We start from the raw sequence: 24,597 nt of genomic DNA, 5'->3' as shown, positions 1-24,597 counted from the left end.
ATTGGTCAACAATTTTCTCCCAATCTCTCCCTCTCTTCACAAAGCTCACTCTTCCAATCCTGCTCATTTATTCTATCTAATCTCCTAATATTTTATTGACAAAATAGGGGCCATCTGAATGCCTTCATTTTTTCCTTCATCCACCTCCAAGCATCTCTTATTTCACTTAACTTATATATTTAAGTTTTATCTCAAAGGAAACAAGCATGAAGATATATAGAGTTGAGATAAATGGTGGAGCAGGATCTCATGGCAACAGAATTTTGGATCAAGAATATCAAAAGAGGAGTTACTTTTAAAAACTAAATCCATAAATGGTTTCTTCTATTTCATTCATATTTTAAACTTTTTCTTCCTACTAGATCATTGCTCTAAGTCTAATCTCCCGCTAAAAAAGTCTCATAGTTCTGTCTATTCAAGTTAATGTCATAGCTCTTACCCTTCATGGCTAAACTACTTGAAAAGAATGGCTTATACTCATTGACACTGCATCCTCCTTGTTGTGTATTAAATTGTTTTATTTAAAAATATTTTTAGCATAGTAAAGAACATATATTGTACAAATATAATTGAAAATCTCTGTGTGTCAAAGTTGCTGCATACTATATAAAATAAATGGTGCTATCTGGAGTTGTGCAACTATTTGTGGCAGCCCTGTATGTAGCCCTCCTAGAGCCTATTCACCTTCTTCTCTCCCCAGAGGTAGTCACTATTCCGAGTTTGATGTTTGTCATTACCATTTCTGCTATACTTTTGTTACCCACAGATGTATCCATTAGCCATAATATTGTTTTACATATTTTAAATTTTTATATAAGTTTATTAATGTATTCTAACTACAACTTTTCCTCCCATTTTGGATATTTATTCCCATTGATGTAGGTTTGAGAAAAATGAGCAGTGAAAGTATCTGATGAGGAAAGGGAAGTAGGGAAATCAGATATTTGGGGAGGATGTTTGAAATAATTATTTCTAAGGAAAGACAGTGAATTTACGAGATAAACAGTAGGAATACTCAGTAATGTTGATCATCAGAAAATGTTTCATAAATCTACAGTATAGCCAATATGCCTGGCACATTGGTATGAATTTTCTCTGCTACTTAGAAGAAGGCAGAGAAAAAGCAAATAATTTTTTCCCCCTGGGCGGGGAAGGGCTGTTTGATTCTTGTGACAAAAAAGACCAAGAGGCAAAGAGTTTAGGATATTGGTAAAAGAACTATTGAAATGATGAACCTGGCCAGGCACGGTGGCTCATGCCTATAATCCTAGCACTTTGGGAGACTGAGTGGGAAGATGGCTTGAGCCCAGGAGTTCAAGACCAGCCTGGGTAACACAGGGAGACCCTGTCTCTATATAAAAAAATTAGTTGGGCATGGTGGTGTGTGCCTGTAGTGCCTGAAAGGTTGAGATGGGAGCATTGCTTGAGTCCAGGAGTCCCAGGCTGCACTGAGCCATGATCACGCCACTGCGCCCTAGCCTGGTCAACAAAGTGAGACCCCATCTCAAAAAAAAAAAAAAAAAAAAAGAAAGAAAGAGATGATGAATTGGAATGAGAAAGTAGAGAAAATACTGGACTAAAGAAGCCCAGTAGGGTAGAAGAATGGTAGGAGTAAGAGTAGGGAAAAGAGAGGAGAATGTGCTTAAGTAGAGGAGTGAGTGAGTTTGCTTACTACCTGGGTAATAGGATCCATACCCCAAACCTTAGCATCATGCAATATCCCCATGTAACAAACATCCACATGTACCCTCTATATCTAAAATAAAAGCTGAAATAAAGAAAAGAAGTAGAGGAGTTATGAATGTTGATGAGGTCCAGAATATAACAAAGGGAAAGGGTATTTGAGGCAGAATTGTATAGAAAGTTATTAGAGATGAAAAAGGAGTGAGAGGGATCAGGATGTTTGCTCATCCATATAAAAGCTGAACTATCCAATATGATGGCAAAGACTCTGTATGGAAATGAAGACTGTGAACCAAATATCAAAGTCATCTTTTAGGGGGGAAATAACTGGAGACATCAGGAGGTGGTATAGTCGAATGGCTTGGATCTAATTGGAAGAGTTTTTCCTAGAGAGTTATGCTAGAGTGTTCTGGAAATGCTAATTGAGAACAAGATGCTCTCCACAATCGTCAACTCTGGATGCATAAGGGTATAAAAATAAAATGAACTGCAAATAAGAGAGTAGGAAAAAAAATCCCACAAATGCTCACTGAACTGTAATCCAGTATTAACAAAGAGTTCACTTGAAGCATTTTATATTTAAACAGTTTTGGAAAAAAAAGCTTAAATGACTGAACATACAAAATATTCAGTATTGTTAGTACTGTTATATTTTCTAAGTATAATCGCTGTATTAATAGGTATAGATATTTACAACAGTGTGAATATTTAAGAACATTTAAGAATGTTAAAATTCATTACATTTTCCAATGTCCCTTATACGAATGTCCCAGAGAGAACTACCTCCTTTGACTAAATGTCAGGAAAATATTGGTTTCTCCAGATAAAATGTATCCCATTCCTTTATCAGAGAATCAGATAATTTTAATATGTTACCCTTTTGTACATAAGCTATTGGGAAACTATAAGTTTCCTAATATTTTTCCTAATTAGCAGAGTGTGATATATGATATTTGCTTTATCACTATATTTACTATATGATTTTAGTAGAAAAAGCACAGGACTTGGAACCATAGAGATCTGGATCAAAATACCAATTCTGCTATTTACTAGCTCTTGACCTTGGATAATTCTGCTTACTTCTTTGCAAAACAGTGTCTTAAAAATATTTATTTCTCAGCATTATTACAAGGTTTAAATGAGACAGTAAGTATAAAACAGTACTGTGACTGGTACAAGCTACAAACTCAAAAAGGGTAACTATCATTATTTATTTTAGAATATTTAATCTGTACGATACCTTCATTTTTTTGAAGTGTTGTGAAAGCTAAAGTTACATTCTGAAATGACTGGATAAAAAAATCATAATTTTAGTGAGAGAAACAATTTTTTAAAATCTAGATTTTTGTAGACAAGTAATGAAGATTTTTAGATTATAGTGTCTGCATTTAGCTTCCCTTCTGCTAATGTGGCTTCTATCCATTCAATTCAAGTAGAGTCTGGGTGATTACTAAGTGCCAGGCACTGTTAGGATCTGGGGATACTGTGATGAATTACACAAATGTCCCTTGGCCTTAAAAACTCATGGTTTAATTGAAGATGACTTTGAATATTAAATTTTAAACTCTCATTATATATCAATATTTATTCATACCTTTGGAAAAACAAGAGTTGTTTTTCTGATTGCCTCCAGACTCCAGTCCTAACTATTTCTCAATAGGCAACTGTTTCCTATTGGCAGGAAAATATATTGCTTTCTAGTTTATTCCTTCATAGAAGGAAAGAAGTTTTATGAGAGTCGACCAGCTAGTAAGGGCAATGGCATTCTATAGAGAATTAATTTTCAAAAATATTTCAAGACAATGATATCATTTTTTTGCTCTCACAAAAACCAATAGTCATAGCAGATAAAAGCAGAGCTACCACACTTTGGGAAAGAGAATGGGAGAATTAGGTATATCTAATTAATATTAGTTTATAGCAACTCAATTTAACAAAAGTTTTAAAGAAAAATAAATATAACTACATGTATTCACTTGTTTATAATAATTTAAACAATATTTTTCACTGTGCTTACTTTGTTGGAAAATTTGACTACAATAGTAATGACAGAATAATATGGGACAAGAATCAGATCCTATTCCTTGTCCTTCCTCTTAAACTAACAGGAAAAGTCATGGAAAAAAATGGAGGCTGGCAAAAGTTTCTAATTTCAGTTGAGCACTGGTTGGGTCATTCTCTTAAAAGGATTCAGCTACTAACGTCACAATGTTGTTGTTGTTTTTTTTTTTTAGATAGAGTCTGGCTCTGTTGCCCAGGCTGGAGTGCAGTGGTGCACCACCTTGGCTCACTGAAACCTCCTCCTCCTGGGCTCTGGGTTCAAGCAATTCTCCTGCCTCCTCCCAGGCAGCAGGGATTACAGGCACGCGCCACCATGCCCGGCTAATTTTTGTATTTTTGTAGAGACAGGGTTTCGTCACGTTGGCCAGGCTGGTCTCGAACTTCCAACTTCAAGTAAATCCGCGTGCCTTGGCCTCCCAAAGTGCTGGGATTACAGCCATGAGCCACCGTGCCTGGCCAAAAATCACAATATTACAGGAGGTAAGTTACTTCTTTCTTTTTTTTTTTCAGACAGAGTCTTGCTCTGTCATCAGGCTGGAGTGCAGTGACATGATCTCGGCTCACTGCAACCTCTACCTCCCAGGTTCAAGCAATTCTTCTTCCTTAGCCTCCCGAGTAGCTGGGACTATAGGCACGCACCACCATGCCGGGCTAACTTTTCTATTAGTAGAGATGGGATTTCGCTATGTTAGCCAGGCTGGTCTTGAACTCCTGGCCTCAAGTGATCCGCCCGCCTGGGCCTCCCAAAGTGCTGGGATTACAGGTGTAAGCCACTGTGCTTGGCCTGGAGGTAAGTTATTTCTATAAAGCTATTGTTTAATATTAATATTTATGTAGTATGTATGGCCATACATAAATAGGAACAATTTCACATGACTTTAACAAAGGTGTACATTTTATCTATAAAAAGCTATAAATTTATTCTTACCTGTAGCCCTCTTATTTTGATGCAGGACATTAGGACCTCTTTTCCATAAGGGAACTGATTCTTCTTCAGCAGTTCTTAGAGTCACAGACGGATAACTTTCTTCACAAACAGGACTTCTTTGGGTGCAATATAATGTCGCATCTTGCCGGGCAACTGCTTGAGTGCCATTTGAATGATTTATTTTTGCGAAAGTTTGGCACTCTGAAGAACAATATGATGGCAGTGATGGTATCACAGTGACTAGGTCAGAACAAGCATTTGAGAGTGGAGAACTACTTTCCTGATTCCACTGATTCAAACTGTGTTCTGTTGGAAGCACATGTTTTGAATTAAAAGAGTTATGTGTAATAATGTTTTGAGGATTTTCAGGAGTTACTGGTTGACACTGAGACACTTGTATATTTTTACCACTTCTAATATTTGATGTAGATTGAGGAGGAGGACAAGGTATAATTAATTTTCCCTGAGCTTGTGTAAATATGTTGACTTTGCTTGCAGACTGTGGTTGAATGACAGCGCCTTTTCTGTTTGTACATATAAAGCCTGATTGGACTTTTGCAGATCCTGGTTTTCTAATTATTTTTGCTCTACCTCTTTGTGGCTTACCTTGCTTAGTTTTAGAATCATCATGTACAGGGATTTTACTTTCTTCTTTTTTTGAGGCTGGCCAGGCATGTTTAGCAAAGTTATAACCTGAAGGTATAAAACAGTTCAAAGGCATATGGTCTGCTCCAGATCCTCCTAAAGTCGTAACATTTTCAGAGATAGAATCCTCCCTGGACTTCTTTGTATCAGCAGAATTTACAGCACAAGTAGAAACACTAATTATGTTGCTTCCAGCACCACTTTGAATGTGGAATTGTTGAGAATGCTGTTGAGTTGTTCCTGTTTTATTCTTCAGTGAATGACTGTTTTCAGCATTGTTTTCTATATTGCTAGTTTCATCAAACCACCTCAGTTTTTTAATGGTCTTTGGAATTTCTGCACCTTTTTCCTTTGTTAATTCAATACTATCTCTGATAGCTGCTGCTTTTTGATTTCCAAACTTAAAGCTCTGATTTATAATTAATGCCTTAAGATAACCATGTTCATATTTAGATTCTTTCTTTAAAATACTTTTAAGAAATCTCACACCATTTCTCTCATGGATGTTGTATTTCATTTTCTTATGCTGGCCAACAAAGTCATAATTAGAAGTTACATTAGACAAGGATGATGTTTCAGCTAATTTTTGTTTTTCATCTTTTGAATCAGGATTGTGAGGTATATAGGCATCTTGAAAACTGTCTGAAAATAAAGGCAACTCTTCCTTATTGCAATTAAAATATTTTATCTCTTCTTCTTTACCATCTTTCAATTCATCTAACTTATCAGAACACTGCACTGCATCAATTTCTTTTATGTGTATACTGTTCTTTGCTGAAGGTCTAGCTGACTGTATATTAGATGGCAAAACTAAAGGCGTTGCCACTGGTACACATGAAGTAGGAATTGAAGTAGTTCCATTTTCTTGATTTAATTCAGAATATTTCTCTTGGTCTGGAAATGTAGCCACTTCCTGGGTTAGAGAATCTGAAGTGCTTTGGGATTTGCTAAATTTAAATGTTGGGCTCTCAGTAACTAATGGTCTCTCTCTTTTGAATGCTCCAGAAGTGGAGTCAGTTGTCCTCATAGTGCTAGTTTCAGAGGTCTTTTCACATTTTTTATCTAGTACAAACATGGGTGGGCTAGATACAAAGGGTACTGAATTATTAGCAGTATTTGTGGCTCTTTCCACTGTTCCATTCAAAGGAGATGGATTTTGTTCTTTACTATTAAAATATTCCCATGAAGGCAGAACATTAGATTTACTTAAAATATCTGAGAAAGCTGTGACATTCTGAGTATTTGAAGCATCTAAATTTGTAAGCCAATTATTTATATGTTGAGTTTTAGAGAATGCCAGTTTATCTTCATCAAAGCAGCTGAGATTAGTTGATTGCATATTTGCTGGTTTGAGGGAAATGGTATTCCGCTGGATGGATGTGGAATGCTCCTTATTAAGTGTTAAATATATTTCTTCATGCTCTGTAGCCTCAAGACTGTCTATACTTGAGAGGGTTTCAGAATTGGTTATCTGATTAACTTCATCACAAAATTTCTGGAAAAAAAAAGAACATTGTTTTATAGCTTATAAACTTTTAAATGCCAAGATTAACGATTCAACATACCATTGTTACTGAGCCCAATTCTCCTTGCATATAGAGTAGTATGACTATAAACATCATAGGTATATAAATAATTCTTATCCCTGCAGCAATCCTCAAGGTAAAAAATTGGGAGGTAACAAAGACTTATAGTATAGTATGCTTGCTTTGATTTCAACTCCTAAAGTAATACCTGCTTATTCTAGCCACAGTTAGAACTTAAAAAAAATTTTTGTTATTGCTATTCCATTTAGAGTATGAAGTTTCTTGAAGGCTTAGTAATAGAAAGTGAGATTCTGAAAAATAATTATTTATAAATTGTATTTTTTTCCTAAAACATTCACTGGACTTGAATGAGGCTCCTAAAAGCTCTGTGATCCTAATGTGAGTTTCCTGTTAGTAGGGGCTACATCTTTTTATAAAACTTAATTTTGTGGACTGTAGTAAGGCTGTTAACTCTGGCTACATGTTAAAATCACATAAAGAACTGTGTAAAATATCTATACCTGGGTCCTGCTGATTTAATACTTGGATGGGGTCCATATACTGGTATTATTTAAATTCCCCAGGTAATTTTCATATGGGTTTAGGCTCAAAAACTATTGACTTTAATGACTCCTTTTGGAGGTTTAGCATAGTAGTAATTTCCATAAATTCCATAGACATTTACATCACTATTTCACTGAAATTTACATGAAATTTGTCAGTCTTTAATAATATTTCAAAATTACTTCAATGTATGGTAAATGTTTAAAAATATTTCTGTTTTCTCACACATACCTAGCATGCATTAATCTACATCACATATATAGAAATAAATTTTAAGAAGACATTAAATTGTATATCTAGTCAAAATGCTGAATGGAAAGAAAATTGATATCCCTTAAGATTTATCATACATTTTAGATTTATCTAAAATATGTAAATTTTAAAAATTTACATACTATGGTATTAGACAAAAGTACTTTCTTTTTCTATCCCAGTAAGTAAACTAAGAAATAAAGTAAATAAATTACAGAATAAAAATATTTTAATTTATATAGTTAGTTCTTATTGATTTAGTATTGTGGAATAAGTTTTAAAAATTATTCATGAGAGTTTTATATTTTTAGCATTTAGTCCCTATTTATCACATCCTTTGGCATACTTCTTAAAGTGATAATCACTCAACCCAAACAGGGAACAAAACAAAGCATAGCTACTTCAATGCCTGTTCTTGGAAATAAGTTGTTTTAACTGATAATGATGATGAAATCAGGCCTGGAAGGCATCCTTTGAGGTTACATCTAGTGAGACACAGAAATTTGCGTTAGAAGATCCTTCTAGATATAAGTATGACATCCATGGCTCTAAGATTTCCATTTGCATAGGTCTGTAATTGCTTCATCTCCCAAATCACCTCAGAAGAAGTTTGGCAACTTCTGATTTCATAAACAATACTTTTTTTTTCTTCAGATTTTTTCCCACCACTAAATAATGAAACATTATGATCAATTTCAAGTTTTGCTTATAAGTTACATTTAGCGGTCCGTCTTATCTTTATTGCCCTGCATGTAACATATCTTTTTTCCCTCTGGCTTTAATCTGATTTTTAGGTGCCTTTCTGTGGTATGTGTGTGTGCATACACTTATCCTTCTTGGAGTTTGTTGGGCTTCTTGAGTCTGTGGATTTATAATTTTCATCAAATTTGAAACATTTCCAGCGATGGTTTCTTTAAACATTTCCATTCCTACTTTGTGAAATTTTATTTAAATTTTATTTTTAATTAAATGTGTTGATGGCTTTATATGGTCTCACAGGTCACTAACAAACTGTTCATTTTTTTCCAGCCTTTTTCTCCCAAAGCTTCAGCTTGGATAATTTCTATTGCTATGTTTTCAAGTCCACTAATCTTTTGTTCTGCAATGACTGCAATGTTAAGTCCATCCAGTCAATTTTTCATTTCTGATAGTATGTTTTTCAGAACTAGAAGGTCTGTTTATTTCTTTTTTCAATTGTCTTTCTTATGTACATTTTTACTTTAATTCCTTGAAAATATTTGTAAAAATACGTTAAAATTCCTTGTTGGTTAATTCCATCATCTCTGTTATTTCTGTCTGATTATATTGACTACTCTTCTCCTGGTTATGCGTCATATATTCCTGATTCTTCACATGTCTAGTAAGTTTTGATTGAATGCTGACATTGTGAGCATTATGTTATTGAGTATTTAGATTTCATAGTCTTCTTTAAGAAAGTGTTGGCCAGGCATGGTGGCTCATGCCTGTAATCCCAGCATTTTGGGAGGCTGAGGCGGGCGGATCATGGGGTCAAGAGATGGAGACCATCTGGCCAACATGGTAAAACCTCGTCTCTACTAAAAGTACAAAAATTAGCTGGGCGTGGTGGCGGGCACCTGTAGTCCCAGCTACTCGGGAGGTGAGGCAGGAGAACTGCTTGAACCTGGGAGGCGGAGGTTGCAGTGAGCCGAGATTGCACCACTGTACTCCAGCCTGGTGACAGAGTGAGACTCCATCTCAAAAAAAAGAAAGAAAAAAAAAGGAAAAAAGAAAAAAGTGTTAAGTTTTTTTGTTTAATAGGTAGCTTGGGTTACTAGTGGATCTTTTTAAGGCTTATTCAGGCAACATAACTACGTAGAAAGCCTAGGTTATAAGGCTTACATCATTTCTTTCCCCTTTTCAAGATCACATCCTGCACTGCCTCTGACCCATGTCTACAAGCAGTTGTTTTATTTATTTTGTTCATAATTATAGTTGTTTATGGTAGGAAGGCACATCACGATAGCTGCCAGGAATCTTCTGTTTTGCTTTCTTAGCCTTGCCACTGTTGATTAATTGTTGGATGAATCAGGCCAATGTTATGAATTTAATCTTATATTGGTTTATTAAAAATCTCATAAATGTGCATAATTATTAATGAAAAATAAAGTACATGGATGGACATGTAGGAAAATCAGCTGATATCTGTATTCAGTTGTGGAAAAAATAAAGTATATGCCCTACTAGGGATAGATTACAAACATCATTTCTAGCAAATTCTGCCATATTTCCATTAAGAAACTAATATCTACATGTATTATAATTTTCTGGTTGCTTTTTATAATACAATCTCTAACAATAATACATTACATTGTACTTTCAAAGGTAAGGAAAAAACTAAAAAATTATTTCTATAGTTTCTATGATGAATTTGTGCTGATTCATCCACACTGTCTTTCATGGCCTGCTCTCAGCTAGTAAGATATTTCTTTAGTGGAGAACACTGCAAAAGTGGAGCAAAATTAGTGCAAGGAATTAAAATATTAACAACATTTTTATAGTTTCATACTTGCAAATTGCTTAGATGTTGATCTTCGAGGAGTTTCTGAGTTTCCTCCAGTTTAAGCTGGAACACATTTTTGCTAGTAGCCAAGGTTGCCCTCATGTTTTCATTCATTTCTTTCTCACAATTGATTTTGGATAAGAGTTGTTTCTGATGCTTGTGATCATTTTTTGATAATGCGGAAGGCAAGGCAGAATCTATAGCTCTGTGAACCAGACATAAAAAGTGCTTAGTACATTTAAATAAAGTTAACTTCTTTCTATATGTATATACATGACACATTAGGTGTAATACGTGTGTGTTTGTCCAGATAACCACATATAAGGATATTGGAGAAATATATAGACATGTTAGAATGAGAATTTAAGGCAATCAATAGTAGAATAAAAGTAGTTGTGAGACTAAAGTACCAGTAAAGAACTCCACCTTCATATAGGAATGCCCAGTAATTCATGGCTTTGATTATTATAACCTATCCCTCTATAATCTGGGATAAGGGTAGAAGTAATTCCTGTGTAGAGTCAGTCCTCAGGTCTTTAAGAGCATTCCTATATGGATAATAATATACTGCATTACCCTTCTTTCTGAGTTGATGTCATGGCTAGTAGGTTAGGAAAAAACTGTAACCCTAATAGTGTTGGTTGAAGATTCAAGCAGATAGAAAATATAAAAATTGCTTGTCAGGGTCAGCAGGAATTTCCTCCCTATTTAACTAGCATTGGGAACTTGGATCGTCCTCAATGGAGGCCAAGTACTCACTTATTTTCAGTTATTTCAGGAATATAAACAGGAATATAAGCATGGTTTTTATGCCACAGAAGCGTACCCTTAATATAGAGTCTACCTTTACTATGCTAAAGGGCCATCCAAACATTTTCAGTGCATGACATCATTTTCTATTAGAATTTTGTATCTTCTGCAAATCTATAGCATGTTAGATTTCAGCACATATACAAAGTGAAAGCAAAGAACTAAAGAAGAGTTTTGGGGGAGGATAGGATGGGGATGAGACTACCATATAGCTGAATGCTGCTGCACTGGGGCTGGCAGTGTGAATCCAAAGAGCATTTATTCCTAATTCAATTAAATTATTCCCACTTTAATGAGAATAAAAATGTTTTGGAAGGTGATAGTGGCCACATGTGATATATACCTATTCCCTATCTCCAATATCCATATATATATCTTTATTTGGACAGACTGGAGTAGTCAAGGTCAATGATTACTAGATTAACTATCCCTTTGTGATCACACATTTAATCAGGGAGAGCAAGAAGGTATTTAATACAAGTTCCTGAACATTGAGAGTATGTTTCTGTCTCTTCCTTTTACACTTTCCTACTCTTAGATAATCCTTCCCCTTCAGTCGCCCTTCCCAAACAAAATATTGCTATATCTACAAAATATCTAATAAACTCAATTTATTTACCTTTAAAGTTGTCGTGTCTCAACTTTCTTCTCTATTCCTTTCTTCTCTACTCCACTTTCTTCTCTTCTCTTCTCTACTTTCTTCCCCCAATGAGGAGGATTGAAGGGGTGGATAGGAATAAAAGGAGATGGGGAGGTAGAAACAGAAGGAGAGTGAAGAATAGGGGGAAAGGAAGAGGAAATCATAAAGGAAGAAGAAACAGGAGAAACTGGAGAGGGAAAAGCTAAATAAGTTGGAGGCAAACCTGGAGAGGAAGATGAATGCAAAGGAGAGGAAAAAAGAGGGATAGATGAAGGAGGTAAGGATGGAGAAGTAGAACAGGAAGTCGAAGAAGAGGAAAGAATAGATGAGGAGGAAGAAAACAGTATACAGGCTGAAGAAAAGGATGTGGAAGTAGAAGGAGATGAAGGCAAAGAAGAAGATGGAGAATGACAGGGAGATGCAAGGGAGAGAACTGAGGCTGGTGGATGATCTGCAAAGGCCTCGGGCTGATTTGACAATGCTGTGGCTTGTGGAACAGATTGCTGGACTGACTGAAAAGGATCCAAGCTAGCAGGATGTGCAGGCAACGGAGTGACATAAGAAAGAGTGGGGACTGGTGGATAAGGGGGGTGACTGGATAAACAGGAAGGCTTCAAAACAGGGAGAGGTTCCAAAGGGGTTGGGGAAACAACCAGTGGAGCTGGAAGGGAACGACGAACAAGGGTAGGCATTAGAGTGGCTGCAGTAGAATGCTGTGCTGGAAGGAAATGTTTGGGTCTGAAAGTTTTGTAAAATAACTTGTGCTGTGACTCAGGGTCAGGAATGATTGGAGAACTCTGGGGTGCGTGGGGTGGATGGCCAGGTGGGCAAGAAGGAATTGGTGCTGGTAGACGAGGGAAACTGCTAGAAATGCTGGAAGTAGCCGGGGTTGGAGGACAAGGATGATATTTAATTGGGTAAGGCAGTAATGGGACTGGTGCAAAGGTCTTTGGAAGAGTAGAGGGTACAGATGGATGGATAGGCAGTATATGGGGCTGGCGGGCAGGAGAAACAGTTGGGTAGCTAGGAAGAATTTGGAAGTGGTGGGACCGCAATGGGACCCGTGGAGGAGACAGTTGATCAGGTAAGTAGGGGTCAGGTGTGGAGACAGCTGGACAGGCAGGAATGGATCTGCACAGGTGGAAAAGCATTTGGACAGGCAGGCAGAGAGACAGCCTTATTAAGATTATTTTTTTTGGTTTATTGGGCTGCCTCTAGGCTTTTGATTCATGTTATTTTCTTGTCCATAGGGTCCATGTATGATCATCCTTTGATCAACCAGTGTCCTCTCACATGTACTGAAAAACGTACATAGCTTATTCAGGTTCGCCATTTCTTATTTCTTGCTCTTAGAGTATTTTCACTTCTCAGAAGCCTTTTACTCACACAGATACAGGAATATGGGCTGGACAATCTGGTTTAAAGCATGAGTTCAAAGGGCAAATAGAGGTCAATAGATAACTGCTCAGCTCTGGCCAGATTTCTCAGTGTAGCACGTAGTTCAGGATCAACTGCCACACTACAGATACATGGATATTGGAGATAGATATCTAGCAGTATCATTTTATTAAAGTTTAACCATTTAATATGGGAGACAATATATCCCCTTTTACTTTACACCTTCCAGAATGGTCAAGCATATTAGCTTTATGATAAGGATTTGATGGTGACAGAAGACTAATTACTTCTTATATTTTTAACTTTACTCCCTTATTAATATTCTTATATCTCACTATTTGCTGAAGCAGCTTCTATGTTCATGAGAATATATTCTCTGATTTATCTTAGGGCTTAAGCACTAAATGCCCTGCACTTTATCATATATTTTTTTTCTCTTTTACATGATCAGATTGCCAACATCTTATTTTTATCTACCACTAACATTTTCCACATTAGAATAATCTTACTGATATACCTCTGCTTCTTTGTAAGCCCCTTATTTCTTGGCATTACTTTATTTCTTAACACATTTAGGTTTACATTCCACTGAAAATGTATTTTTAATGTGATAGTAGTTTATCAATGGTTTCAGCTTAATTACATTTTCAATAAATAAAAATATGTCCATTAACCTAACACCTGATTCTTAATATTCCAATATCTCATATTTATATAGAATTTCAAATTTTACAAAGCACTTTCATATACATTACTTAAGATTATTGGTTATCTGTGGAGAGAAGTCTAACTTTTTAATAAGTAAATCATAGTGTTCTCACTATACATTGTATACACTTGTTGTTTTCCAAATACATAGAATTTATGTGATATATATATGTATATATAAACATACACACACAGATAGATATAGATATCATGAAGTCAAAGTCAAAATAGTATGTTAAAATAACATGAAAACTAACTAGGTATTCTAATGCACAATGAAGATCATTTCTATAAAACAAAGATGATGTGTGTTATTTAATGATCCTAGCATAGACTTGCTGTAATCATATATACATGTTTGCTGCAGGGAAAGCAAAGTTGTTCTGACAGTTTAACTCTTCTAAGACTTCAAGCAACTGCACACTGTTGAACAAGAAAAACGCCTATGCTTTTCTTCATTCTACAAGAGTTTTTAAAAATTGAAAATATCTGTCTGGGCATGGTGGCTCATGCCTGTATTCCCAGCACTTTGGGAGGCCGAGGCGGGTGGATCACGAGGTCAAGAAATCGAGACCCTCCTGGCCAAAATGGTGAAACCCAGTCTCTACTAAAAATACAAAAATTAGCTGGGTGTGGTGGTACGTTCCTGTAATCCCAGCTACTTGGGAGGCTGAGGCAGGAGAATTGCTTGAACCCGGGAGGTGGAGGTTGCAGTGAGCCGAGATTGCACCACTGCACTCCAGCCTGGAGACAGAGTGAGACTGTCTCAAAACAAACAAACAAACAAACAAACAAAAAAGGAAAATAATTCAATTAACATAAAGTATAACAACTGATAGAAAAAAAAAACCTGAAAGTGAAGAAGCCCTGTATAGAAAATGTACATTGCTTCTACATTAACTGGTTTAGAATTTTTAAAATTAGTCTAAATAAATCCCGGGACTCCCTCTAATTGTTTGTCATCTCTTTTCAGACAAGCTTTCCTATAGAGTACTCTAAAATTATATTGACACATATAATATGGTAGTAAATTATATTACTACCACAACTTCCACTTGTCTCTTAACCCAACTGTTATCTGGCTTCCACCTCTATCACTTCAATGTACTACTTTGCTTGTGGTTAACTAATTACCTAGTAATTGCAAAAATAGGTATTTCTTGACCACTATCTTTCTTGATTTTAATTCCCTTGGTTTCCGCATCATCACATTTCCCATTTATTTTCTTACTTCTCTGGTTGTTCCTTCTCAGGCTCTTTCTTGAGCTCCTCTTTCTTTGCCTGTCCTTTATATGCTAAAATTTTTGAGTTATGTGGCTTTCTTTTTTTCTTATCTATATCCATACTTTCTTTGTAATCTTACTTATACTGTCTATGTGACCTTATCTATATTAGTGTGTGAGTAAAGGGTTAACAAAATCTTCTCCTTCTCTATGGACCAATTCAACTTTGAGTTAACTTTCTAAGTCTATTTCTCTGGATAATTAGTAGGATTTAAGCTGTGTTACAAGGCACATTGATTATGGTAAAAATGGCCCTTCATTGGTAAACCACATCTGGACTAAGAGGACTGCAAAGAAACCACAGGTATCTGCTAGAAAGCTATAGTTTTGAGTTTCCTCGAGTATGATAATTCTTATTACTGGACATATCTCTTCCATGGGAGAAATTCATATGGAGCCATTACAAAAACATTTGTTCCTGTTTAGAACATGGGGCGTCTTATCCAGAATAGGTAGATGCCTACCCATTGTGATAATGTAAGCATTATAAGCCTTAAAGCTGAGCTGTCACTTGTAGAGGGTAGAAACATAGCAAAAACTAGCCCCTCAACTGTCTTGTGGCCTTCTATAAGGATTCCTCCTATTGAAGAATGTTACCTAGTTGGCATGCACTGTTTTCTGGTCTCTAATTGAAGCCAAACAGCCTGGTACAGTTAAGGGAGTTTGATTGTTTAGCTGAATCTAAGAATACCACTGGCAGATACTGCCATGACTTTAACTTTATTCATTCATTGATGACTGTCATGTCTACATTCATGGCCCAGATTTCTTACTATAAGAAATTGGCTCTTGAATATCTCATAAGTGTCTCAAACTCAAACATGTCATTCTCCTTCCAATTACTTCCTCCCCTAAACCTATCTATTCTTCCCTCATATTCATCATTTTTGTTTTTTACTAAGGTAAGAACACTTAACATGAGATCTACCCTCTTAACCTCGTAGTCCTCATTTTGATAAATGGTTTTACCACTTTTTCACTGACCAAATCTAATCTCTGGAGTCATCTTTGATTCTTCCCAATCACTCCAGGTCTTAAACAGTTACCAAAGCATATTGATTGTACCTTCTAAATAGCTTTCAAGAAGTCATTGTTTTCATCAACTAAAGTGCCATTTTACCTGATTTTACTGCTTTCAGTGTTCTCCTTTTCTTTTCCATTCTGGCAATATTTCCAACCTATAAATATTGTGTTTGCTTCGAATCTTTCAGTAATTGTTTTTAAAACAAACTCCTTACCGAGGCTCTTCATGATCTAACTCACGGCTTCTTTTCCAACCTATCTGCCCACAACTCTCTTCTCACTGTACACATTAGCCAAATTGTGCTACTTGTAGCTCCCTTAACACAACATGCCTTTTATGATTCTATGCCTTCTCACATGCTAATATTCCTTCTGGTTGAAATTTCCTCCCAGTGTTTGTCTCAGATAAATACCCTCCTCATCTATCTAACTTCGGGCCACTTTTATACACTTTGAGAAGTGTTCACTCATGTCAGTGATATTTTTCCATTCAAGGTATTTATTGAATACCTCCAACATGAGTACTGAATTAAGCACTATAGGGAATACCTGCATATGTAAGACTGAGACACTGTCCTTTAGAATATTACAATCTGGTTGTGGGGACAAAAGTACACATGAAAATTAAGCAACAATATATACAATCATAACTTTCAAATCTATTTCTAGAGCCTTGGCCTCTCACCTCATCTTTGGTTAAATTATTTTTACACATTTCTACATGGATATTTATCCCCTCAATTCAGAAGGCTCAAAGGGAATTTTAAAAAGTTAATCACATTCCCTTAATCAGCAAGACTCAAAATATCAGTCGCTTTTTATTTTTTTGCTTTTTTTCATTTCCTTTGTCCTATACCAAACTCATCTATTCTTTTAATAAAATATCTTTTCTTTCTGCTTCTATTCTGTCTATTCTCCAATTCTTGTTGCTCTTCTTTCTCCTCCTCTTCCTCATCTTCTTGTTCTTTTCTTTTTCCTTCTCCTTCTCCTTTTTCTTTTGAGACAGGATTTCACTCTTGTTACCTAGGCTGGAGTGCAGTGGTGTGATCATAGCTCACTGTGGCTCCAACTCCTGGGCTCAAGTGATCCTTCTACCTCATCTCCTCGAGTAGCTAGAGCTACAGGTGTGTGCCAGCATGCCCAGCTAATTTTTACATTTTTTGTGTGTGTGTAGAGATGGGGTCTTGCTCTATTGTCCAGGTTGGTCTTGAACTCCTGGCCTTAATTGATTCTCCTTCCTCAGCCTCCCAAAGCACTGAAATTACAGGTGTGGGCCACTATGCCCAGCCTATACTTCAATTCTTATACTTGTAATTGATCAACATCCTTAAACTCTTATTTCTTTATGCTACTTCTCTGCACTGTGAAAGCACATTATCTTCATTCTTTCTTCTCTCTCATCCTCTCACTACTAAAAACCTTTTATTATCAGAGCCATCCTTTCTTCACTATACAAAATAGTACTGTTCTGGTTTAGGCAGTAAGGATCTATCCCTTGGGTTATTCCAATAATTTCCTCTCTGGTCTCCTTGCCTCCAATTTCTCTCTATCCTCTCTATTCTCCAACATTTGCACCATTTATCTTTCTAAAATAAGAAAGAGGATGCTATCACTCCCTGCTGAAAAACCTCCATTGGCTCCGCACTGGTTACAGGATAAAGTTCACACTCACTTGCTAGACATACAAACATTTTACATCTGATCACAATCTACATTTCTAGATCATCCCCTGTCCCATCAGCAACACATCCTGTAGTCCCGACACTCTGAATAAGTTCTATTTCCTCAGGGGTCTATGCCTTTCACAACACTGTAGCACTGCACATGCCTAAAACCCAACACATGCTTCTCTGATAAATCTTAACTCATTCTTTAAGACTACCTTCTACCTTCAATGCTGTACTTCTTTATTACTTTGCTAGTATTTCTGTAACAACCCCCATTATACAGTATTACATGTGTATTATGTTGTAAAGACCAACAAACAGTATTATAATGTAATTGCAAACCCTTGCTAGGCAGAGGACCATATCTCATTCACATGTGTAACCCATGCTAATCAGTGTCTAACACAGAATAAGTACTTTTGTATCCTACTCTACCTTTCTAGACTGCGATTCTGTTGCTCATCACTTTAATATTCATATTTAAACATCATAAGATCTTTTTTAAGGGAAAAGCCATATATTGGCCATACATCTCTTCTGGCTATTGTCCTATCACTCTCTAACTTTCACAGTCAAACTAAACTTGTTATCCTTTTTGCTCTCCATTTCTCTTCAACTCATTGCAATTTATTTTCTGCCCCCACCACTCCACTAAAATTGGTCTGACAAAAGTTGCCAGTAACTTTTTTTGTTGTGAAATACAGTGGACCCATTGTTTCTATGTTGGATATTCTCTCTTTGCCCTTCCAGATTCATTACCACATTTCTCTACTTGACTCTGCTCCAAGAGACTGAATGATCCCTTGCTCTTTGATTTATGGCTGAGTTTGGCCAGTGGAAGGTACCAGAAGGAGAAAGGAGGGTGACAGAAGAAAGAGGTTTTTGATAATTATTCCTCTGACTTCCTCCCTGCTGGGCTTGCTTTAGCAGTGGCTTACATTCCTCTCCCTAGGACCACAGGACCTGTCCAGCGTCCTTCTTCTACAGTATAGCTCTTTTCAGTTCAGGTCTGTGTTGGTAATACTGACTTTGTGTCAGTTCTGGGGGTGCTTTACCATCCTTTGTTGGTTTTATAGTCCCTTACTTAACCTCTCAGTCACCTCTTTTAAGTGTGCCTCCTGTTCCCTGCCAGGATCCTGACTGACAGACATTATGTGTCTGATTCTTTAGAAGTCATTTGATCTCTGTAAACTATTTTTTTTCCCATGAAAATTTATCCTTCCCTAGTTTTCATGATACTGACCTCTCCTAGTCCTATATAAGCCATTCTAGCCATTGTGTTTGCAAGCTTCTCTTCTTTTTCCACTTCCTTAAATGTTGCTGTTCTTCACTGCTCATCACACACATACTCTCCACAGTTGACCATATCCATTACCTTGGCTTCAAATGCCTTTAGCCTAAGTCTTTCTCTTGAGCTCTAGGCTATATAATTTCTACATTTATTGAAATATCCCCAGGTTTCAATCCATTATCCACAATTGTTCACAATGGATTGGAATAATATGTTTAAAAAGACAATTTCATCTTATCACTAATTTGCCTAAAATTATTCATTGACTCCTCTTAAACTCTCAAGATAAAGTTTATATTTCTTGGCATACAGATGCACTTATCTCTCCAATCTTGTATCTGGCAAAGCCATCTGTATTTTGCATTCTATGATGTACACATACTCTTACTCCTAGAGTATATCATGCTTTTGATTGCCCTTGGCTTTTGCACATGCTCATCTCTCTGTCTAAAATGCCATCCACTCACTTGTTCCAAATAACTACTATTTTCTTCAAAGCTTTGCTGAAGAATTCTCTGTCCCATGAGGTCTTTCCTGAACTCTAATTAGGATCAAGAGGATACATTTACTTGTTCTTAGTCCTAATCAAGGGAACTGTTGCCCACAGATATTCTAAAAATGGAATAACATTATGCACAGGTAAAATATTAACATAATTTATTGTCTGAATTGTGGACGTATTTATATAAATGAATTTTATATATTATTGCAATTACTCATTTGGCACTATTCTATATTTCTGAAGCACTATTTCACTTATCTTTCAGATTATACACTAGGGATTATATTTTACAATAGTATATACTTCTCCATATCCCCTTATAATGCCTGATCTACTTCTATACATGTAGTAGCATTAACAAATGTTTGGAATAAATAAATGGAAGATACAGGATGTCCGAGGGTACCCAGTGGTTGATTGGTCCATCCTATTACTTCTAGATGATTCACTTATGCCATCCTGCAGAAGAACCAGGAGACTCTGTAGCCTTTTCAAGACATCCAGGAGAGATTTTCAGTGAGGAAAAACCCATTTCTACCATAAAATTACTCTTTTTACCTAAATTTATTACAATTCAACATAATTTTCTCTTCTCAGTAAAGATATAAACATTTTAATCAAAATATCAATATCAATATTTAAAAAGTGTTTTGATGGTATGTTCCACAAAAATTATTTAACATACATAGTATTTTGTAATACCAAGGACTTTAAGACAACAAATTGGAATTCTGACCTATTCTTGGAACAATTTTCATTCTATTCTACCTCAATTTAATCTGTAAAAATAAAAGAATAAACTCTAAAACACAGATGAGGAGTAGCTGATGAAAAAGCTGACAAGCACAGTAACTAGATGGTTATACAATTATTGTAATAATTGTATACAATGATCATAAATTACTTACCTCCAGTTTATTGTTGGTCTACGGGAAAAGGGAAGGTTTACTTCTGATTTTAAGTTGGATTCCTGAATTTGTTTGAGGGCCTCTTCTAATGGAGGAACTGGTTTTCGGGAAACTAAAGAGATAATAAAGACCGAACAGTACAGAATCACTTTATCTTCAGTGGTCACTTTACATATAATTTAATTGGTTAATGATAAAATATTACTTTAAAACTTTTGTAAAAATAAAATATTTTCAGAATAGTGTAAATACTTTAAATTTTGACATTCAATTCCCAAAAGAGAATGTGTTACCTCAAAGTTTTCATCACCAATTTTAAGAATATTTATCAGGAAAAAAGAGACTTTGAGAAATGTCTGGGCTCTTCATTCCTGGCATGCAAACTCCCCTATATTTGATCTCATAGTGCCATAAACTTATGACACAATTTATAAATGTTCCTATGAAGAAAAGGGGAACATACAAAAACACCAACTAACATTTCCTGAGCACTTAGTTATAGACCTTATTTTTAAGCATTTAATGCACATAAACTAACCCTCACTATGGCCTATGAGGTATATTTTACAGCTGAGGAAACTAAGGCATAGAGAAGGCAAGTAACTTGCTCAAGGTCATACATTATTATGGACACTCATCCATATACTGCCCTGCACAACCTTTAATATAACCCTATGTCCTATATATATCCACTTTCTCAACGCCTTCCACTGTGCACTTTGGTATTCAACATACTCTATTTTACCCTACTTCTCTCTCTAAATATTGTCTTCTCCTACAACCCTCTCAAATGGAGACATCATTTTCCTCCCATCATATACTATAAATATACTATACTATCTATACATGGTATCTATAGTATATCACATACTATAAATAACTCAAGGCCTAGAAATAGGGTGAGTGAATTTCTGGCTTTAGCTCTTCGTGGGTACTTCCAAACTATCTTCCTCTTTTCTCCTTTAAAACACCAACATGTCATCAAACTTTTCCATTATTACAATGTTTGTAATTTATTTAAAATGTTTAAGCAAAAATAGGATGTTATTATGTAAGGGTTAGTTCAAACTTGAACTCTAAAGACAATCCATTTCCCTAATCAACTGGTGATTACATGAGGAATGCAAAGCTACAGGATAGTCTGCTGATATTCACATCATAAAGGATGCATCTATCAAAGTAATAAATAATTTAAAAATTATTTATTGAATGTTTAAAATAAGGTTTTCTGCTAATTTATAGAGGCACTGTTCTCCTTCTAGCCTCTCTTCCACCATTTTTTTTTGAGAGTCTTGCTCTGTCGCTCAGGCTGGAGTGCAGTGGTGCGACCTCTGCTTACTACGACCTTTGCCTCTTGGGTTTTTAAGCAATTCTCCTGCCTCAGCCTTCCTAGTAGTTGGGATTACAGGCAACCGCCACCATGCCTGGCTAACTTTTGTATTTTTAGTAGAGATGGGGTTTCACCATGTTGGCCAGGCTGGTCTCGAACTCCCAACCTCAGTGGTCCACCCGCCTCAGCCTCCCAAAGTGCTGGGATTACAGGTATGAGCCACCACGCCCGGCCTCTTTCACCACTTTCAATCAAATTAGTAACTGAATCCTACTGATTATATCTATTTATTTATTTATTTTTTTGAGATAAGGTCTGGTTCTGTTGCCCAGGCTGGAGTGCAGTGGTGTGATCTTGGCTCACTGCAACCTCCGCTTCCTTGGCTCAAGCAACCCTCCCACTTCAGCCTCCTGAGTAGCTGGGACTACAGGCATGAACTACCATGCCTGGCTAATTTTTGTGTTGTTTGTAGAGATTGAGTTTCATCATGTTGCCCAGGATGGTCTTGAACTCGTCAGCTCTTAAACCATCCACCTGCCTTGGCCTCCCAAAGTGCTGGGATTACAGGCATAAGCCACCTCGGCTGGCCGTGATTATATCTCTTGAATATAGTATCTTTGGCTGGGCACAGTAGCGAAGAAGAGCAAGACTCCATCTCGAAAAAAAAAAGGATGAATATGGATATGGATGAACATGAATCTTATCTCTTACACTCAGTGCACTGCTTTAATTTAGGAGCTTAACATCTCTTACCATAATTATTTAAATAGTATCCTACTAGTCTACTTACTTTAGTAAGTCTCTACTTCAATCTATATTCCATCTTGTAACTATAATTATCTTTCTAACAAATCTAATTATAGCAGAGACCCCTAGTTCCCCACCTAATATGCATTTTCCCTTTTTTCCTTGGTAACAGACCCTATATAGTTAGGGGTAGCAATATACCCACATTAAAAAAGCTATTTTTCAGACTCCCTTGCAAATAAAGTTGCCAAGCAGAGATCTCAGAGGTACACCCTTTTTTCCTGTTCTTTCTTCCTGCCTACAACACTGGTATGATGGTTGAGCTCTAGCAGCTACCATATGACCATGACAGTGAGGGTATAAACTGTGTTACTAAAGACTTTTGAGCCGAGTGACAGATGATCCTTCTGTCTCTCAGCTCAGTATAATCATCAAACCAGCTCTTGACTGCCTACCACAGGACGTCGTATTATATGGGAGAAAAATAAACTGTTATCATGTTTAAGCTATTGTTATTTAGCGCAGTTTTACTAGCTGCCCTTATTAACAGTAATATTTATTACTAACACAGCAATGGCTTGCTTTCTTGTTAAAAAAACTGTAAGTGGACTGTATTTTGCATAAAGATGAAATTCCTGGCATGGCATATAAAGCTCTTTGAGAACTGGCTACCTCTTTTTTTTTCTAGCTTCATATCCATTTTTCTTCTTTTCCCCATCCTATGCTTCAGATACACTGAAATACATAATTTATTTGTACAAGCTGTTCTTTCGCCTGGGATGTCCTTTTATTTTCTGTTTGCTTTGCAATATGCTCATTTGTTAAGATCCGACTTAAGTCATTTTTCCAAGAATGATGTCCTTGATGTCCTGACATAGGTTTAGTGTTCTTTCCTCTGTGCTCTCATGGCACTTTACACACTCTGCTACCATAGCAATTATCATTATGTTATTGACATTGCTTATACCACTCTCATCTCCAAAACAGGTTGTGAGATCTTTAATGGTAGAATGCAATTAGATTTTTCTATATCTCAGCTTAGCCTAAGGCTAAGTACAACACAGTACACCATATGTTTGCTGAATACATAAAGCTTCTGCTTATCACTATTCTTTATGAAGCTTTGACATATTGTTAATTGTCTTACTATTTAAGGTATAAAAATGTAGATATAATACAAAAGAACCAACCATAATCATATTTAAATTCTTAACTGGTTCCAAGTTTTTATCTTGTTGGATTATATTACTCTGTAGACTTTCTTTGTGTTCTGCCAGTCTCTCAAATATGAATTTGAACCAAACCATTAAAAAATACTAGAATAAATGTGACACTAATTTTCTGAACCCAAATGTTAAATTTTCTTTGTACTAAGCTACTTACCAAATGAATTTTAAAAGGACAAACCATTGTAACCAGTTGGAAGTCAAATCAAACTGTGAGTTTCAGAATTTAGTAATAGTGCCAACAATATTCTCTCAATTAAACCTAAATCAATTGACTATTTTTCTTTGGTTAAAGTGCTTTTACTCAAAAGTCATATTGGTCTTTTTAGTTTGTTTCCACTTCATTTCTTCATTTACGATTTTATTGTCTACTCAAGTCAAATGAGATTAAAACTTTATGTTCTCATACTGTTCTAGAAATTAAGGCACCTGCTTTCCTCCGCTGTGAAAGAGGAACATGGGCACGCTGGAATTTTTCAGTAACTTCTTCAAACTTCTGTTTTCTTTGTTGAAGTATTTGTTCTCTAATTTGGTGTTCTTTTTCTTCCTGTTCTTTTCGTTTCTCCTCAAAAGCTCTATATTTAAAACACAAAGTAGGCAACAGAAATAGGTGGTAAGTTTAGAAAATAGTTTCAAAATGACGCATTTATTATATAACAATGTTTTCATATTTCAAAATTTTATTTAAAAACAACAAATTTTAAATTTTTTAAAACAGGTGTTTGCCAAAGACTTATTTCTTTGTAAATGGTAATTTCAGAACTGTATCCAGGTCTCTTGCAACTAAGAGAAGATTCTCTAATGCAGCCCTTTCTAATTTCTGGCAGGTTTGCATACCTATTCCCACCTCGCAAACTGTGCTGTGGAAAAAGCCTTTTCTAAGG

The 24,597-nt window shown here is 36.0% G+C and overlaps 1 protein-coding gene and 1 pseudogene across 2 annotated transcripts in view, besides 1 other annotated feature; both read right to left on the bottom strand.

Moving 5' to 3' along the window:
* The window catches only part of CEP126 (centrosomal protein 126), an 86,053-nt gene that overhangs the window by 32,510 nt on the left and 28,946 nt on the right, over positions 1–24,597 (bottom strand). The window contains exons 3-7 of one of the 2 annotated variants that reach the window (NM_001363543.2): positions 24,143–24,288; positions 20,411–20,522; positions 11,610–12,291; positions 10,187–10,385; positions 4,673–6,812 (exon numbers count right to left, since the gene is read on the bottom strand). In NM_001363543.2, the coding sequence (NP_001350472.1) occupies positions 4,673–6,812; positions 10,187–10,294 (2,248 nt within the window). In that variant the 5' untranslated portion in view covers positions 10,295–10,385; positions 11,610–12,291; positions 20,411–20,522; positions 24,143–24,288. The remainder of the gene's footprint in view (positions 1–4,672; positions 6,813–10,186; positions 10,386–11,609; positions 12,292–20,410; positions 20,523–24,142; positions 24,289–24,597) is intronic. The other variant, NM_020802.4, reaches the window with a different exon arrangement.
* Positions 3,581–4,780: an enhancer, noted in NCBI's record as "BRD4-independent group 4 enhancer chr11:101834504-101835703 (GRCh37/hg19 assembly coordinates)". NCBI's record gives its function as "activates an origin of replication core promoter dependent on BRD2, P300/CBP, MED14 and CDK7 cofactors, and independent of BRD4, by STARR-seq in HCT116 cells {active_cell/tissue: HCT116}" and the evidence as "EXISTENCE:reporter gene assay evidence [ECO:0000049][PMID:35650434]".
* LOC100418997 (proline rich 21 pseudogene) lies at positions 11,714–12,761 on the bottom strand (annotated as a pseudogene).

Source organism: Homo sapiens, chromosome 11 (assembly GCF_000001405.40).
Source record: "Homo sapiens chromosome 11, GRCh38.p14 Primary Assembly".
In the NCBI taxonomy this organism is placed as follows: Eukaryota; Metazoa; Chordata; class Mammalia; order Primates; family Hominidae; genus Homo; species Homo sapiens.
This window is presented reverse-complemented; position numbering and strand designations above follow the sequence as displayed.